The sequence below is a fragment of the Homo sapiens genome, chromosome 9, assembly GCF_000001405.40.
Source record: "Homo sapiens chromosome 9, GRCh38.p14 Primary Assembly".
Lineage (NCBI taxonomy): Eukaryota > Metazoa > Chordata > Mammalia > Primates > Hominidae > Homo > Homo sapiens.
In genome coordinates, this window is record NC_000009.12 from 62,851,856 (window position 1) to 62,871,032 (window position 19,177).

Consider the following 19,177-nt stretch of genomic DNA (forward strand, 5'->3'; position numbering starts at 1 on the left):
TTAGAATGATAGCAGTTCATCAACCAAATAATTCATCTTCACACAGTTTCAATTACTTCAGAAATTTTCTTCATCTCTCTCTCTGTAGAAATTCTCAAACTGTGGAATGCTCATCCTTATCGTCATAAATACTGTCATCTTTATGTCCAAGAGTATCCAACATTTAGCTACCAAACTACTACCCAAATCTGATTAATTGATCATGTTGATTCTGTCACATTCTACTTGTCATATCAGATTTTTATTAAAGAAATCATTAGCTTATCTATGATTGTTACTGGGGCTGTAAGAAAATTTTATAAGTCATTTGGATCAATCTTCTTCTTTATGGTCTTATTTGAGAATAAAACTTGGTTCTGTCTTAGCCTGTCATTGAATAAGCCAGTGACCTGGGGCAAATCTAACTGCTTCATCTGTAAACTATGAATAATAATAGAGTCCCTCTGCCTGTCACACATGGGTATAGTAAGGTTCCATTTTAAAAATGGCTCTTATTATGTTACCTGAAAGGCATTCTATAATGATGAGTGGCAAGGTGGTCTTAGCAACAGTGCAGTGAAAATTGGGACCATTTTCTGTCGCTATCATTTCTATTTTTGTGATACCCTCTTTTAATTAGTCTTAGGATGTAATTCAAAGGAGTGATGTAATTGGAATTTTCTTCTTTTTTTTGAGACAGAGTTTCCCTCTGTCGCCCAGGTTGGAGTGCAGTGGCGCAATCTGGGCGCACCGCAAGCTCCGCCTCCTGGGTTCACGCCATTCTCCTGCCTCAGCCTTGTGAGTAGCTGAGACTACAGGCGCCCGCCACCGCACCTGGCTAATTTTTTGTATGTTTGGTTGAGACGGGGTTTCACCATGTTACCCAGGATGGCCTCGATCTCCTGACCTCATGATCCGCCCAGCTCGGCCTCCCAAAGTGCTGGGATTACAGGCGTGAACCACCGCGCCCGGCCCATAATTGGAAATGTTTGTACTGTTAGATCTAAGAGTATTTTATGTGGTATAATAAAAGATTAATTTAGTGAACCTCATTAGATAATTAGCTTGGAATATATTATGCACTGCCATGCAGGGGCCTAAGAGAATGGTCCACACGTCTTGCGAAGTTGATATGAAGACAGGCAACAAGACAGTCTAGCTGAGTAAAAGTCTGTAGACATCTCTAGGGAGGAGTGGTTAGAGAATGCCCTGACGGTGGATAGCTGGCATATTTTACCCCAGAAAGAAGAGCACAGAGTGGCAGAGAGTACTTGAGATTTAAATAAGAAAAGAGGATGAAAAAATTACTTTCACTAATTATATATTTTCTCAAGAATGGACTTATTCTCTATTTTCTATTGCCTCTTGAGAAATCATTATTTTGCATTCAGTCAACATAATTATTAAGACTAATTGTGGAGGGTGTTCAAAATGGAAAAACAGCGGTCCCTAGGATTATATTGTATTTATGAATGATCACTCATTTGTAACTTTTCCTTCAGTTAGATGTTTTTTAATGCAAAAATACCTTTTAAGCACCAGTACAATTTGTGAAACGAAATGTGAAATTGAGGCATATATGTAATTTTATGTGTAAAATATTCCCTTTTTTTCTGTTAATGAAGTATGTTTAACATGAGATATATCCTCTTAATAAATTTTTAACTGCTCAATAGAATCTTGTTAACTATAGGTGCTCTGTTGACAGCAGATCTCTAGAACTTATTCATCTGTTATAACTGAATTTTATACCCATTGAACAGCTACCCCAATTTCCCCTCCTTCCAGACCCTGGCAACCAGTATTCTACTCTATTTCTAGGAGTTTAACTATTTTAGATATCTTATGTAAGTGGAATCAGGCAGTATTAAAACATACTTTCAATTAGTAATGACTATAATTCGGATAATTTAAATAAGAGAAAGCAAACATCACTACTACTAGCTTTTGGGGGAAAATATTACAAATAGGGATATTGTGATAAAAGTGTACAATATTTTTTATATTTGTGCACTTAGATCCGTGTTCAAACTTTGCCACCTATACATGTATAGCACATTTGAATATGTGCTACAGTATGCCATTTATAAAGACTGAAAATAACATTTTATAAAATATTATTATTTATTTGGCAACCTCATGAGCTTTGGCTTCAAAAATACCTGATTTACAAAGCATAATCCTAGTGCTGGAGAACAGATCAGTGGCTGCCAAAGGTTAGGGTTGGTTGGAAGATGTGATTAGTGAGGGATAACATGAAAACATGTACTTTCTTTGTGGTGATAGAGCAGTTCTGCATCCAGATTATGGTGATGGTTACATAAATCCGCACTTCATAGATCTATACACACACATCACACATACACTCACACACACCTACACAAGAGTACATGTAAAATCCTTAGAAATATGAATAGGGTCTGAACCTAAGTTAATGGTATGGAAACAATGTCAATTTCCTGATTTTGGCAACATACTAGGTTAAGTTAGATATAATTATTGGGGAAAGTTGGCTGAAAATAACACGGTCATTCTTTTTACTATTTTTTAACTTCTTGTGAGTCAAATTATTTAAAAATAATTGGTATTAAACAAAGACAAAAAATCTAAAATTTCTAAAATCAAAGCCTTTATGAATTTGAACATATTATTTGATTTCTTTTGTAGACCTTGATTTCTTCACCTGTAAAAATGGAATGATAGTAGAATTTCTATCTCATTATTGTCATGCTTAAACCATACCATTTATGTAAGTGCCCAGTACCGTGTCTGGTGAACAATAATGCTTAAACACTGAGTTCCCCACTTTTTTGTGGCTGTTGGTTTACAGGTGGTTTTTAAGTTCCTAAGTGGAAGTTTGTTTAAAAAGAGGCAGTCAAAATAAACAGCAATGTCTCAGAGCATCATCTGAACAAGAAAGGAAGGTGTTCTCCATCCCTTGAAGTGGTCTCAGTCCTCTTTTATTGTTTAGCTCTCATGTGAGTCTTCACAAATAACCTCAAGAATTGCTACAACACCAACAGAGAATTAACTCTCATTGAGTTTTTAGCTCAGTAGATTCTGGGTCCTAAAATTTATGGACTCACCTGCTTTTTAAATCTTTCCCATTTAGAAATATTCAATTTAAATCTTCCTTCAGTAAGTAATTGTTAACTATTAACAATCCTAACATTATAATAAAGTCAGAAGTAACATTTATTACTTTTGTTTTCCACTCATACTGTTTGCAGTCCATAAGCATACAGCATTTTGGTCTTTCCAAATATCTAAAGGAAGATAATCAAAATCAAAACTAAGAAATCCTACTCTGAAGTCATATCTCTCTAACTAGATTGTATATTTATTGAGGGTGATGACTATATTTTCTTTTCCAGAAAAATAAAACAAATACAAGGTTGGGACGAATTGAATTCAGTGGGGGATGGAGAGGGGAAGGAGTCAAGGTTCTTCATCCTTTTCCATGCTTTGATAACTTTATCTATGAGATCCTAGTTAAAAGAACATGACTATCTAAAGAAGTAAGTGCTTGAAAGGCCCACTGTATTAGGAGATTGGGAATTGTTAGCTTGAAAAGACATAAATGGAAAGAAAACATAATACAGAGACAAAATACATGAAATTTGTATTGTGGTACACATGTGCTTTGTGATCATATTTCTGTGTCATAAACAAAAAAAAAAAGTATAAAGCTTAACCAAGAGAAATTTAGGGCACATAGAAGCATTTACGTGTTTTCATACTATGAGCTGGGGCTAAGGTGTCCTTTACCATGACAGTTGGTGAAGCATAAGAACAAATCAATTCACAAATGTTCTGGTAAATTCCAATTTCCACATCTTAAATCATAGACCTAAGTCAGTCAAAGTCAGTCATATATATAGATATATGTGTGTGTGTATATATATATATATATATACAGGCACCTACTTAAGTGATATGATTTAAGCATGGCAATAATGAGATAGGAATCATACTATTATTCCATTTTTACAGGTGAAGAAATCAAGGTCTACAAAAGAAATCAAATAATATGTCCAAATTCATATGGGCTTTGATTTTTGAACTTTCAAATTTTTGTCTTTGCTTAATACCTTTTGTTTTAAAATAATTTGACTCATAAGAAGTTAAAAAAAGAAGTAAAATGAATGACCATGCTATTTTCAGGCAACTTTCCCCAATGATTATATCTAACTTAACCTAGTACATTGCCAAAATCAGGAAATTGACATTGTTTCCATACCATTAACTTAGGTTCAGACCCTATTCATATTTCTAAGGATTTTACATGTACAGATGTGTTTGAATGTATGTGTGATGTGTGTGTATAGATCTATGAAGTGTGGATTTATGTAACCATTACCATTATCTGGATGCAGAACTGCTCTATCACCACAAACAAAGTACACGTTTTCACGTTATCCCTCACTAATCACATCTTCCAGCCAACCCTAACCCTTGGCAGCTACTGTTCTGTTCTCCAGCACTGGGATTATGCTATGTAATTCAGGTATTTTTGAAACCAAGCTTATGAGGTTGCTAAATAAATAATAATGTTTATAAACTATTATTTTCAGCCTTTATAAATGGCATACTGTAGCACATATTCCAATGTGCTATACATGTATAGGTGAGCCAAAGTTTGAACATGGATCTAAGTGCACAAACATAAAAAATATTGTATGCTTTTATCATAATATCTCTATTTGTAATCTTTTTCCCCAAATACTAGTAGTAGTGATGTTTGCTTTCTCTTATTTAAACTATCAGAATCTTTAAACTTTCTCTTATTTAAACTATAGTCATTACTAATTGAAAGTATGTTTGAATACTGCCTGATTCCACTTACACAAGATAGATATACATATCAGTCATATCTATGTGTGTGTATATATTTATATATATGTCAGTCATATATATGTGTGTGTATATATTTATATATATGTCAGTCATATATATGTGTGTATATATTTATATATATCACATACACACATATATAGATGGAGTTAGGTCTATGATCTCTGTATATATTTATATACACACATGTATTTTTAAACTATTACATGAAGCAAATAGTACAGTTGATTTCATATAACAAGAGTTATTGGATTTATATGGGCAAAAGTTAATGCATAGGGGCAAATAAATTGATGAACTTACAGACTCATTTATTTGACATATATTTATTGTGTGGTCTCTATTGAATGCTGGGTATCTTCCAGGAGCCTAAAATTCAGCAGTGAATGTAACAGGCTCAAATCCTTGTACTCAAGTAGCTAATATTCTAATCGAGGGAGAAGACAATAAACAAAGTTAATAAGCAAAATATTCAACATACTAGTTGATAGGAAGCTCTGTGGTGAAAAATAAAGTAAGAGGAAAAGAATGAGAGGAAGCTCTAAAAGCAACTGAAGATTTACATGAAGAAGCTGCCCAGGCGTTGGCCCAGAGTGAGAGGAAGCGCCATGAGTTCAACAGGCAGGTCCCAGTTCAGTGGAAAGAAAAGGATTTCCAGGGCATGTTGGAGTGCCGCAAAGAGGGCGAGGCCCTCCTCATCCTCAACCTGGTGACAGACTTGAAGCCCCAGATGCTGTTGGACACAGTGCCCTGTCTCTCCGCCTACATCCTCTACATGTGCATTCGGCTCGCGGACCAAACCAACGATGATCTCAAGGTGCACTCCCTGATGACCTCCACCACCAACGGCATTAAGAAAGTCCTGAAGAAGCACAGTGATGACTTTGAGATGACGTCATTCCTGTTATCCAACACCTGCCACCTTCTTCACTGTCTGAAGCGGTACAGCGGGGATGAGGGCTTCATGACTCAGAATACAGCAAAGCACAACGAACACTGCCTTAAGAACTTTGACCTCACCGAATACCGTCAGGTACTGAGCGACCTTTCCATTCAGATCTACCAGCAGCTCTTTAAAATTGCCGAGGGTGTGTTACAGCCGATGATAGTTTCTGCCATGTTGGAAAATGACAGCATTCAGGGTCTATCTGGTGTGAAGCCCACTGGCTCCCAGAAGCACTCCTCCAGCATGGCAGATGGGGATAACTCATACCGCCTGGAAGCTATCATCCGCCAGATGAATGCCTTTCATACAGTCATGTGTGACCAGGGCTTGGACCCTGAGATCATCCTGCAGGTATTCAAACAGCTCTTCTACATGATCAACGCAGTGACTCTTAATGACCTGCTCCTGCGGAAGGACGTCTGCTCTTGGAGCACAGGCATGCAACTCAGGTACAATATAAGTCAGCTTGAGGAGTGGCTTTGGGGAAGAAACCTTCACCAGAGTGGAGTAGTTCAGACCATGGAACCTCTGATCCAAGCAGCCCAGCTCCTGCAATTAAAGAAGAAAACCCAGGAGGATGCAGAGGCCATCTGCTCCCTGTGTGCCTCTCTCAGCACCCAGCAGATTGTCAAAATTTTAAACCTTTAGCCTCCCCTGAATGAATTTGAAGAACAGGTAACAGTGGCCTTTATACAAATGATCCAGGCACAACTACAAGAGCAGAATGGCCCTCAGCAACTGCTATTAGATGCCAAGCAAATGTTTCCTGTTTTGTTTCCATTTCATCCATCTTCCCTAACCATGGAGTCAATCCCAGCATGTCTCAATCTGGAGTTCCTCAATGAAGTAGACGCATGTTTAGTCTGATTCCCAATGTGAGCAAAAAGGAAGTATAGACAGTAAAGTAAATTCAAGGATCTGTTAAATCTGGTAAAAGTAGATCAAATCAGAGATTGACAGCCTGTGGAGGGTGCCTGAACTATACAGAATTAACACAACTATGGCGTTATTTTTTGTACATACTGCTCAGAATAAAAACACTTGAAATGTGGAAGATTTTAAGTTTGATTTCAGTCCAACAAATATACATAATAATTTATAGACACCAAGCAGTCCCCATAGCCATATAAAAGATGCCAATTCTATAAAATGAAGCTGCCGAGTTTTAATCTTTGCATATAACTGGAGAATGTCCAAATTAAAATACTAACTATATATAAGTCGCATAAATTGCCTTCAAAGGGCTTTTAACAAATAATAGTACTAATAACCATGATAATGACATATACTGACACTTCCCAAAGTTTGCAAACCATAGGTGTGGTAGAGTTTGTGGTGAGATGTGTTAAGAACAAAAATATGGGGATGAGACTTCTGAGAAATGTCCCCAAAATATTCTTTAATGGCTGATTATACAAAGACAGCAGTGTAACTGACCTCCAAACCAGACATTTTGAGTACTGGTTTCTGAAGCAAAATTAGAAGTCCCAGTCCTCAGTGTCCTCAAACGCTTTTGTGTAATCTTGGTTTAATGGAAGAGATGATTAAAATGCTGCTATCTGAAATTCCAAGTGAGAAAGATGGAAAAATAATTTGTGTCTGATGCTAGTCCATACACTTTCCAAGTCCCACAAAACTCTCACAAAAATGTATATAAGCTAAATATTACAAAATGATAACAACTTGTTTTATTTATAGATGTAAAAAACAATGTGAAAGCTTTTAATCTCTTAATACCATTAAGCCTCCAGTAAGAGCCTCATATAATGCTCTACTATTCCAAACAACTAAATAGTAAAACAAACTAACTTTGCACATCAGATTATCTGAAAAACCTTCAAAAATACTCAGTTCAGGGATTACTATTATACAAAAGTCTGGGGTTTTTTTAAGAGAATAAAATGGCTTAGGTCAACTTTCCCCTTTCAGGTTATTTTCAAAGTTTTTCAAACGTTGTAATTCAAAATTGTAAATATCTCTCCTATGAAATAAGGATTTTAAAAATGAGTAATTCAGTAATATAACAGACGTAGATGTTTGCTGCTCTTAGAATTTTTTGTTCGTTTGTTTTTGGGCTCTTCAAAAGCAAGCATTCAGTTAGAAACCCATATTATTCTTTCCACACTTTTTTATTATACTTAAAGTTCTAGGGTACATGTGCACAATGTGCAGGTTTGTTGCATATGTATACATGTGCCATGTTGGTTTGCTGCACCCACTAACTCGTCTTTTCCATTAGGTATATCTCCTAATGCTATCCCTCCCCCCTCCCCCCACCACACAGCAGGCCCTGGTGTGTGATGTTCGCCTTCCTGTGTCCAAGTGTTCTCATTGTTCAATTCCCACCTATGAGTGAGAACATGCGGCGTTTGGTTTTTTGTCCTTGCAATAGTTTGCTGAGAATGATGGTTTCCAGCTTCATCCACGTCCCTACAAAGGACATGAGCTCATCATTTTTTATGGCTGCATGGTATTCCATATTCTTTCCACACATTTTTTTTACTGTCTTTTCCCTATTTCTTGATAGCAGTATGCTGTTTCCATGATAAGAACAAATAGTGTTTGCCAATCATAGAAGAACAGCCTCTGTATTACATTGAGAAAATGAGATTTATCCATGGATTGGAAGTAGAACAGCCTGCCTCCACCCTCCTTTACTCAACCACCCAACTTAAAAGGCTCTAGGAAACACAGCACACTCCAAGCTACCTTCTGTACTGTGCCCTTAGACCTCAGCTTCCTCAGTCATTCTCTGCATCTCCTGGGGCTTAACCCAGTCTTAGCCTGTGTTGAGGCTGCTGACAGTTGTGTTCCAATCATTTGCCATGGACATTATCCCTTCTACATCCACATTAAACATGCCAGCTTCTCTTGGGTGTCTGCAGAGCTGTGCCTTTTTCTTTCAGTGACAGTTACATAATCACTGACGTCCATGACACTCACACATGGATCCATGTGCTGACTTCATTTAGAAGGCCAATCTAAAACAACTGGGTTTGTGGCTACCTCTTTAAAGTTGTTTGTGAAGTATAATTTGCTTTTTGATGTACTTTAGTTTGAAACTGAGTCCCTTATGTAAGGACTGTCCTTAATCTTAAAAGACCAAAAATGCCTTGTTAGAGTGTTAAGGAGTTTTGACATGCAGTGGTTCCACAAATACAGTGGCTTACTGTCCTTATATACTGTCTTACACCATCGTTCTCTCCATCTCTCTTGGTCACTACAGTGGTGAGATCAAAACCCCAAGTGAGGCCCCAGAGTGGCGTGAGGACCCCAGTGCTCTTGCTGATCTGAAACAGGCTGCTCTTCTCCTGCTTGCATGGCTTGTCTCCAATGGAAGGCCTCAGGATCTTGGTGATGACCACAATAGTGATGGTTATGTTCACCACCACAATGATCAGTGCTGGGATGGCAAAAGCCAGCAGGGCCTTGGTGTCCTCCCAGTTGAGCCAACAGACATTCTTCCTCATATAGACTTCCCAGGGCTGGGTGGCTCCCAGCATGATGACCAAGATGGCAGGTAGGGCAGCCGTAGCCAAGACAGAAGGCAATGGCTTTCTGAGTGGACCTGCTTGTTTCGTGCAGAATGAAAACCAGGCGATAGAACAACATGAGGCCCAGTGTCAGCATCCAGAAGAAGATGCTGAGGTAGAAGAAGTGGATGAAGAAGGTGGCAGCCACACAGGCTGTCTTGCAGAGTATGTAGTGATTGTCCTGGATGGCAGCGACCACAATGAACCAGGTGTTGGCGACCAGAAGGGAGGCAGCAACATTCACTATGCAGATGTGGCGCATATAGGAAGTCTGGTTCTTGGTCACTGATTTCCACACCACAGTTTCCACAACTAGACAGGCCGCCAAGCTGAAGATGGAAAAGCCCACCCCAACATAAGAAATAATATCCAGTAGTATTCCCAGGAGAGAACCAGGATCTGGGGAGTCAGGGGACTTGAGAATGGAGAATGATGTTAGGTAGTCACAGATACAGGTGACATTGTCCCCATCACCTTCTTCAACATAGCACCCACTGCTGTCCCACCCCCCGTGTTGTTGGAAAGCCTGAAGTTCCAGAAGACACATGTTGTTTCGCCGCCTGAAGGGCTGTTGTTCTTAAAAGTCATTGAAATGCTGAATGGCATAGTCACATTATGGCTGACAGTGGTCGTCATCACTAAGCTCTCTGCAAAATTATTTTCCTGGATACCCTGGGCAAGGATGGCTTGGAGAGTTGGGAAAGCCATGGTGACAATAGGTGAATCTGATGGCAAGTTTTCTAGATAGCTCTTGTCAATGACCACATTGCCCCAGAGGTCAAAGTATGGGAAAACAAACCTCTGTTGATAGGTTTTTGGGTGGCTGGACATGATTACCATGCTGCTCATCTGCACATTAGTTTGGGAGAAGGACAAAGGAGGGCTATCTCCTAATTGTAGTGCTTGGGAAAACCTTCCCACTGAATGTAGTAGCTGTGAACTCTGCTTGGTCCGTTGCTGTTGTAAAACCTTCCAGGTGTTCAAGACGGGCTTCCCAAGGATGACATTAACCGTAGAGAGCACGTGCTGAAAGTGAAATGGTATGGGGTCAAACTAACCAAATTCTTTCAATCATAAAAAAGAAAAAAACAACATCTTCCTAGAAACTGATTGCATAAAGGTAAGAGGAAACGAGAAAACAAAACTGAGACATCACAGGCAGTGGGGATGTATGACCTTCTTATGGCAGAGTTTAGCAGAGGATGGGTCCCCAAGACTGAAAGATGTCAGTAAGCACTTAGCAATGGTGACAGTGAGAGTCACACCCACTACACACCCTACTCTCTAAGGTCAATTCAGCAGGCTGGCAGGGATGTTTACTATTTTATTTTATTTATTTTATTTTAAATCTTAAGCCTGTATTTTTAGTAGAGGTGGGGTTTCATCATGTTGGCCAGGCTGGTCTTGAACTCCTGACCTCCTTGAACTCCTGTAATCCCAGCTACTTGGGAGGCTGAAGCAGGAGAATCGCTTGAACCTGGGAGGTGGAGATACATTTTTCCTGCTGCCCACTCTTCACCCTGCTGCAGTCCCCTTTCTCCTGAGCACATGTCTGGTTATAGCTCTGGCCTTCCAAGACTATAGCTCCTGCTGACTGGTGACTTACAGGTGTGCATATCTCGTGACCTCTGGAATAATGGCTGGCAGTCTTTTATGTCTACACCTTTGCAGAATTCAGGCTCCTCTCCTCCCAGCCTGGTGGTCTCTCATTAGCTTTATAAAGGTGGTTGGGTTTTGGAGAAGGACTATTATTATTTAAACTGTAAACTACATGTCTCCCAAAGCTAGCCCATCCTAAGCCCAGTAATAATTAAGGCAACATGAAGGTAAAATATAAGAGGGAAGTTGGCTATATTAGATCTTCCCCACTGCCATAATTTCCTCACTGTTATAATTATTGCAAATGCAGTTTCAATATGAGTTGTTTTTCAATTCAACCTCTGGCTTTCTAATTAAAAATGATTAGTTAAACACACGTGCATCTTCTTCCTATTCTACCAACATCCTATTGAAATGACCATGTGATGGACAAAAGAGAAGATATGTGTCCATGCTGAGAACAGGATGCAAAACCTTCAGCACCCTAGAGGGCAGGAGGAGATGGGAACACATTGGGATGTGTAGCCCGAACGATGCAAAGAACAGAGTTGAGGGTGAGATGGAAACCCCTCACAAAAGAAAGATTAAAACAAATCTAGAATCCCAGGCACGCGCCTCACAAGCAACTGCAGTGCTATTAAAACAAACCTAGAATCCCAGGCACTCATCACAAGCAACTGCAGTGCTATTAAAGGGCTGTTTATGGATCAGCTGGGCCAGTCAGCTTCCCTTCCTCCCATCCTGCAACTCCTGGCAGTAGCTGGCAGCAGTTATTTAAAGGAGACCAGCCAAGCCGGTTCCTGAGTGAGTCCAACCACAGTCAGCCCAGGGCCAGCCTTGTGGCTCCCAATCTATGGTACTGAGGGTCACGTTCATTAATTACATTTCCAATGAAACAATAATTGTCTTTAGTAAACTACAGAAGCATAAGTAGAAACAATATTGTAGTAAATGTCTCATATCATTACTTCTGCCAGAAATACCTCTGCCCTTGAATTTTCAAAAGATATTTGCTGCACCCTTTTCTGAAATATACTTTTATAATCTCGATTCCTTCAAAAACCTGATTATTTATTTATTTATTTATTTATTTATTTATTTATTTATTGTATTTGAGACACAGTCTCGTTCTGTCACCCAGGCTGGAGTGCAATGGTGCCATCTCTCCTCACTGCAACCTCTGCCTCCCAGGTTCAAGAGATTCTCCTGCCTCAGCCTCCAGAGTAGCTGGGATTGCAGGCGCCCGCCATCACACCTGGATAATTCTGGTACTTTTAGTAGAGACAGGGTTTCACTATGTTGGCCAGGCTGGTCTCGAACTCGTGACCTCAAGTGATCACCAGCCACAGCCTCCCACAGTGTTGGGATTACAGGCGTGAGCCACCTCGCCTGGACCAAAAACCTAACTTTAATTATTTCCCTAGCCACTACACGGATTATTTTATTTAGTGCTTTTTTACACCATTACATATACATATAAGGAAAACTGGCATCTTTTACATATTTATTTATTTTTATCCTGTTTTCCTCTAAAAACTATTAAGGCAACTTCCAAAATATATTCTACATAATGAGATTAATAAACAAGCAAAATAAATCAGTAAGAAAATCTAGTTTGGATTGTTATGGGTTAAAAAATGAATACACAAAATATAACATGATATTTGGTCTAATATAGGCTTCCCGTGCCCTCCCCCAACCCCCCGCCACCGCCCCCAACCCCCGCCGGAGAGGACACGGATGCCCGGGTCTGAAGCCATGGCTGGGCAGCTGCCCTTGCGCCTGGGACTGCAGGGTCCCCTCCCCACCAGCTCAGAAGCCGGCAGGGCTCTTTCCTTCCTGTTCTCAGCTCCCGCCGGCTCCACAAAGCGCGCGGCCCTGCGGCGCCTCCCCTGCTGCAGCCGGCATCTTGGCAGCAGCCTCTCCAGATGGGCCGCTGCCATCAACACCACCCAAACCAGTAATGTGGCTCAACCAGTTCTGCCATCCCACCCAGGAACAGAAGGTAGCAAGAAAACCTCACTTTGATCCCCCTGTGATTCCATCTCCAACCTGACCAATCAGCACTCCCCACTTCCTGAGACCATGCCATATTATCCTTAAAATCTCTGATCCCCAAACGCTCGGGGAGACTGATTTGAGCAATAATAAAACTCCAGTCTCCCGCCCAGCTGGCTCTGCAAGAATGACTCTTTCTCTATTGCAATTCCCCTGTCTTGATAAATCAGCTCTGTCTAGGCAGCGGGCAAAGGGAACTTGTTGGGCGGCTGTGTGTGTGTGTGTGTATATATATACATATATGTGTGTGTGTATATATATGTATATATCTATATGTATATATACATTATATACGTGTATATATACGTATATACACGTATATACGTGTATATATATATAAAAGAACTCACATACATAAATATATGTAATATTTGCAACTGGAAGTAGAACAGGACCTCCTAATGCAGAGACGAGCTCCTGTAGCATCAGGATGACTCCCTGCCAGGTGGAGATTCCGTTGTGGTCATACTATTGAGGGGGCCCCACCTGAACACCAGTCCTCACCCCTGATTCAGCCATTCCACAGATATTTATTCAGATGTTCCAGGAACTATTCTAAGGGCATCAAGTGCTGTTCTTGTCACAGGCAAAGAAAGCCCCAAAGGGAAGGTGTCTCTTCCGGCGGTGCCTGCCCCACCTCCAAGCCTGGCACCTTTCAAAATTTATCTTAGGACATTTCCGACAGGTGTTGCTCTTCTTCAGCTTTGTCCTGGCATAATTTTGTCTCCCAGGAGGCTTCATTTTCTTCCTTCATTGATCCTACATGTGCTGTAGCTAACAGGAATTCCTCAGAGCTCGTAGCCTTTGGATAGCGTGGTTTCACGGTTGTCAACACTGATATGTTTATCTATACTTTGAGCTTCGTGTAGTTTTCATTAGGATTTTGTGAAATGCACAGGATGATGTAGGCTAGAATGATAGGTTCAATTAGCTATGTTCCTTGATGATTTCACAGTAAGTTATATTTAAATAACCAAACTATTCAGATTTATGCTTCTATGATAAGAGATTTCAGTATTTTTGAATCAAACCATTTTAAGGGTTTTTTTTTTAATGAAACTTATTTACTTAAAATGATTACATAACTCTCCCCTTGCATGCCACATTTTAGGCAAAATTAAGAGCATATTCCTAAAACCCAGCTTACTAAATTGCTTCTCTTGATAGCTTTTTTTTTTTTAAGCCCAGGAAGAATTTCTAATGGGAAGCTTTAATTGTAGTGAGTTATGTACTAGCCAAGGAAGGCAATAAATTGAATATATGCTGTTTAATTTTGTTGTTGTTTGTTTGGCTGGAGAACACTACAGTTTTATTTCTATTCATAAACCAGTGCTTCCCAACCAGGGCTGTTTTTGCCTCCAGGGAAGAAAATGTCTGGAGACATCTTGGGTTGTCAAAACTGGGGGTTGCTACTGGCACTTAATGAGTACAGGCTATGGATGCTGCTAAGCATGCCATCGTGCACAGAACAGCCTGTACCCTCTCTTCTCCTCTGCAAGAAGAATTAAAAATTATCTGACTCAAAAGGTTAATACTGCTAAGATTAAGAAACCCTGCCATCGACCAGTGGAAGTAAAAATTGTAAGGATTTATTATTTCAAATCTATACAGCTTTACCTCATGAGTTTTACTTTTTCTAATTCTCTTTAGGGAAGTTTCTCTTCCCTCTCATTTTGCAAACCAAGTTGTGATTTTTGGCTTGAACTACTCTACCCCACAGCCCAGCTTCTGCGCTTTAAGATGTTGTGGATATGGGCTCCATGCTTGCAGTGGCGAAATTCGAGGCCTGTCACATGTCCTGCTACCCCAGACCACTCCATCACATGACCTGTGCATACACCTTACATCATTCTGAAATGCCCTTCACATATGCCCTCTTCCAGAATATAAAACATCTTCCTTGCATAAATACTTCCAAGGAAAAGCTGGCCACACTCTGACTACTTAAACTCCTTGAAGTTTTGTTCTATGAAAAACATAAATGGTGGTTCAGCTGGCAGCATCCTCAGTAACAATCTTGATATTTTCTATCCTCTAATTTTCTCCATCTGTTTGAGAGAACACACTTTGGGTTATCTAGGGCCTATGCCAAAGGAGGCATTGTGGATAAGTGTGGCTCAGCCTTCCTCAACAAAAAATTACCTTTCAATTCAGGGCAGAAGCTTATGATATTAAAACTCATGTGGTTCCTCGAGAATCTCCTCCATACACTTTCCTTGTGAGCCAGGGGTGAGGGTAACTGGCAAAGCAATCAGGTCTTGGTGCCAACAAAATCCCATTTCATCCCTGAAATACAAGGCCCATCAGGACGTGACATCTGTCTGTATTACTTCCTACTATATAATCCCCAGTAACTAGAACAAAGCAGTTAAACAATATTCAACAGTCAGAAATATATTTATCATATGCTGCTAAAAATACCCTCCATTTTCTAGCTCTCTAATCAGTTAACATGTGCACATTTAAACTACATCACAGCATTGGATTTGTTCTATCTGTCTGTATGGATACAATTATGCTGCTGACAATTTAGTCAAGTGTTTCATCTCTATGTAGACAACTGTCATGTAAGAATTAATGAGAATTTCCTAACATCATGGTGGCAACTGGCAGCTATTGCTCTGAACATTTCTAGCTCTGAAAAATTTTAGGCCAACATGTTTACAGTAATGTTTTAGTTTAAAGAGCTTGGAAATGGGGTTTCCTGGAATGTATTGGAATAAATCATGTATTTTATTCCCAGTTTTGGGAGATATCTGCTTTCCTTACGTTCCCCAGGCTACCACCATCCAAAAGCAGAAAAGCCATTTAGGGAACCAAGAGTTTTAGTCAAGCTATTTAACTGTCATCAGAAATAAAGAAAACAAATCACCTCTACAGCCTTCTGGGTTAATTTTTATAAGGTAGTTTGTCTTCATTCAGTAGAAAAGAATAATCTTAACTTCAGGTCATTGGCAGGTCAATAAAAGCTCTAAAGCTAAATTTTCACCAAAATCTCAGTTGAGATAAGTAATATTTAAGGATTATTTGGAAGAATAGGCTCCATTGATTTCTGTAATAACCAAAGATTTAATACTGGATTAATCCAAACCATCGTATAACTCCATACTCAAGCCATACTGTCTTGATTGCCCAAGAAATTGCTTTTAAGAAATTGTCATATATTTATTGTCCAAAACGTGTTTATTATAGGGTTATTGTTGAGGACAATGTCCCCTTTATCGCTTGGTGACTCCAATTAAAGGCCCCAACAAACATTGCTCTCAGACTTGATTTTGACAACAAAACCTCTCACATAAAATACTGAAAGTATGAATGTTAGAATTCTTTTTTATTTCCTGGAAGCTGAGATACAAAAATGGAACCAAAATTCAGTGATGTAGATCTTTATCATATCTTGCGTGGTCCTCTGAAATAGGAAGAAAACATTAAATTTTAACTTTTGACTTTAGGGTAAAAAATCACTTTTATACAAATCAAAAGCAAACAAGAAAACAACCCCATACAAATTATAAAGATAAAGGCTGACAAAGTTGACCATAATAAAATAAAATTTCTGTGCAACAAGACACTAGGAATAAGTTTGTAAGAAAAGCTAGTGGGAACAAAAAGATATTTATAACATTATTGAAGATATAAAGATTGATATCCAAAATAAAAACCTCTTATTATAGAGGAAAGAAAAAGTAAATGAAAGTACAAACAGATTAAGAAGAGAAAACATGGCCGGGCGCGGTGGCTCACCCCTGTAATCCCAGCACTCTGGGAGTCTGAGGCAGACGGATCACGAGGTCAGGAGTTTGAGACCAGCCTGGCCAACATGGTGAAACCCCGTCTCTACTAAAAATACAAAAATTAGCTGGGTGTGGTGGGGGGGCATCTGTAGCCCCAGCTACTCAGGAGGCTGAGGCAGGAGAATCACTTGAACCCAGGAGGCAGAGGTTGCAGTGAGCTGAGATCATGCCACTGCACTCCAGCGTGGGCAACAGAGCAAGATTCCATCTCAAAAAACAGAAAAAAGAGAGAGAGAAAACATTAATGACTAACAAATGTATCTGAAGATTCTCAGACTCATTAGTAGTCAAATGTACATTATAGCAATGATGAGAGTGCAATTCTCTTTATCTGAACTGGTAAACATAAAAAAGTCAGCCAAAATCAAGCATTACTGAAGTGATGATAAAGGAGTTATCTGGTGATGCTGGTGGGAAGATACAGCGGCTGTGAGAGGTGATTCTACAACATGACTTACAGGCGAGTACTCATGCGCACCCTCTGCCCCAACAACCTGACAGCTCTTCCCCTGCCATCTTCCATGGTCCACACAAACATGCATGAGTGTGTCCTGGGCAGCTGCACCCTCACCTTTGTGCATCACAGCAGGGTCCATCTGCTCTGGGTCCTTATGACATGACACTATTCTCAGTGTCCTGGTATGTTCCCGACACTGTACAATGGCTCCAATCAGCCCTACTCCTGCCTGGAACAAAGAGAAACTTTGGTTATATAGTGTGTATTTGCATAAAGACCGTTTTCAAAGAGCAAGAAGAATATAAAAGAAATAAATTTGTGCCTGTATATAGACTCCCTAAAGCTGTCTCTGGCCTCCAGTTTAAAAACATCTAGAATCTAGCCAGGCCCTTGCCTTTCCTTGAAGCACACTTATCTGCCTAGAATTAGGTGTAAATAATTTTGTTCTATTTCCCACCCCACGATTCTGAAGAACTGGCTCAAATGTACCCAAACTCTGGTACACATTTGTCAATGCTGCCTCTTACAGGACAAAAAAAACTGAGTATTTTCTTTCAGACCCTCATACACTTTCCACATTGAAAATGTGGGATATTCTGTATTTCCACAAGCAGTTCTTTCTCTCTTCCCTGTCTCTCTCCTATTGTTCTTGAAACCCCTACTCTCTCACTCTGTGATTTGTCTAAATATAATAAAGATATAGGTACAAAAAATATTTTACTTTCCTCTTAATTCTACTATGAGAAGAAAGCATTAAGTTCAATGATAAAGGGCAGCTGGTAATTGAACTTAGGTGTAGGCAGAAAGACACTGGTAGGGATGAGGCAAACAAGAAAGTCTGTTTTCCATGTAAAGGGTGAAACAGTTTCTCAGCAATTGCTGAGATCAAGGATAAGCCCTACAAGTTTGGGCAGGAAAGAGGACTCTTATTACTCTGAGGGAATGCAGAAATCCCTCCGTTTTGTTGTTGTTTGTTTTCTCTGAGCCCTTGTGATCTGGCCCCCAAGAATTCCTGTGTTGGCAGCAGTAGGTGGTGCCTAGGAGAAACAAAACCCTGAGGCCAGGGCATCTTCCTCTCCAGTTGGTGCAGTAGTGATCCCAAGAGGGTGATGCAAACTTTTTAAAGTCTTTTCTCATTTTGCCACCTGTCACCTGGCTCCAAACATGGGTGCAGCCATGAAACACTGTAGCAGAGTACCGTAATCAAAGACCCAGCATTCTGGCCAGAAAACAGAAAAGAGGAGCTCCAGGAAAACAGAAAATATTGGAGACATTGTGGAGAGGAAGGAGTATGAGAAAGTGACACCATAAAGTTTTTAATGAACTGAGCGCATCCCCAAGCTGCATGTGTGTGGATCTGCTCCTAATTAGTTAACCAAAGATTTTGAGAACGAAGCTAGCAGATTATTATCCGAGTTCCACACTGACCACCAGGACATATCTGAAGCAAACTGGAAAGGTTTTGAAAACTCGATTATTGGAACCACAGCTCACAAAACAGAGATTGGAACTTGCAGCTTGAATATGACAAGGTCAATTGCTTCTAAAACAAAAATAGCATCCATCCGCCTAATATTTTATGAAGACCCAGGCCTCAAAACTTAATGTCCATGACGCAATCCAAAATTACAAAAAAAACAGATAAACTGCACCCCACATGAGAAAAGACAATCAGTACTAAGTAGCTACCAATACTGAGAAGAAACAGAAATTTGAATTACATCACAAGGATTTTAAAGCAGCTTTTATAAAAATGTTCCAACAAGTGGTCGCAAACACTTTTTTTCTCTCTTGGGACGGAGTCTCACTCTGTCACCCAGGCTACAGTGCAGTGGTGCAATCTAGGTTCACTGCAACCTCGGCCTCCCGGGTTAAAACGATTCTCCTGTCTCAGCCTACCAATGAGCTGGAACTACAGGCATGCACCACCACGTCCAGCTAATTTTTGTATTTTTAG

The 19,177-nt window shown here is 39.8% G+C and overlaps 1 long non-coding RNA gene and 2 pseudogenes across 2 annotated transcripts in view, besides 1 other annotated feature; 1 reads left to right on the forward strand and 2 right to left on the reverse strand.

Annotated features, from left to right (window-relative positions):
- Positions 772-1,271: an enhancer, noted in NCBI's record as "H3K4me1 hESC enhancer chr9:66508451-66508950 (GRCh37/hg19 assembly coordinates)". NCBI's record gives its function as "activates a minimal SCP1, AML or CMV promoter by ChIP-STARR-seq in naive H9 embryonic stem cells {active_cell/tissue: H9 hESC(naive)}" and the evidence as "EXISTENCE:reporter gene assay evidence [ECO:0000049][PMID:30033119]".
- On the forward strand, positions 5,354-6,827 carry MYO5BP2 (myosin VB pseudogene 2; annotated as a pseudogene).
- LERFS (lncRNA negative regulator of fibroblast-like synoviocyte migration, SYNCRIP interacting) overlaps positions 6,001-19,177 on the reverse strand; it is a 40,232-nt gene continuing 27,055 nt past the window's right edge. Inside the window, exons 2-6 of one of the 2 annotated variants that reach the window (NR_122076.1) lie at positions 17,335-17,449; positions 15,842-16,021; positions 15,112-15,255; positions 7,217-7,338; positions 6,001-6,328 (exon numbers count right to left, since the gene is read on the reverse strand). This is a non-coding gene — a long non-coding RNA (lncRNA negative regulator of fibroblast-like synoviocyte migration, SYNCRIP interacting). Of the gene's footprint in view, positions 6,329-7,216; positions 7,339-15,111; positions 15,256-15,841; positions 16,022-16,133; positions 16,379-17,334; positions 17,450-19,177 lie in introns of those variants that run through there. The other variant, NR_122077.1, reaches the window with a different exon arrangement.
- Positions 8,993-10,339, reverse strand: ADGRF5P1 (adhesion G protein-coupled receptor F5 pseudogene 1; annotated as a pseudogene).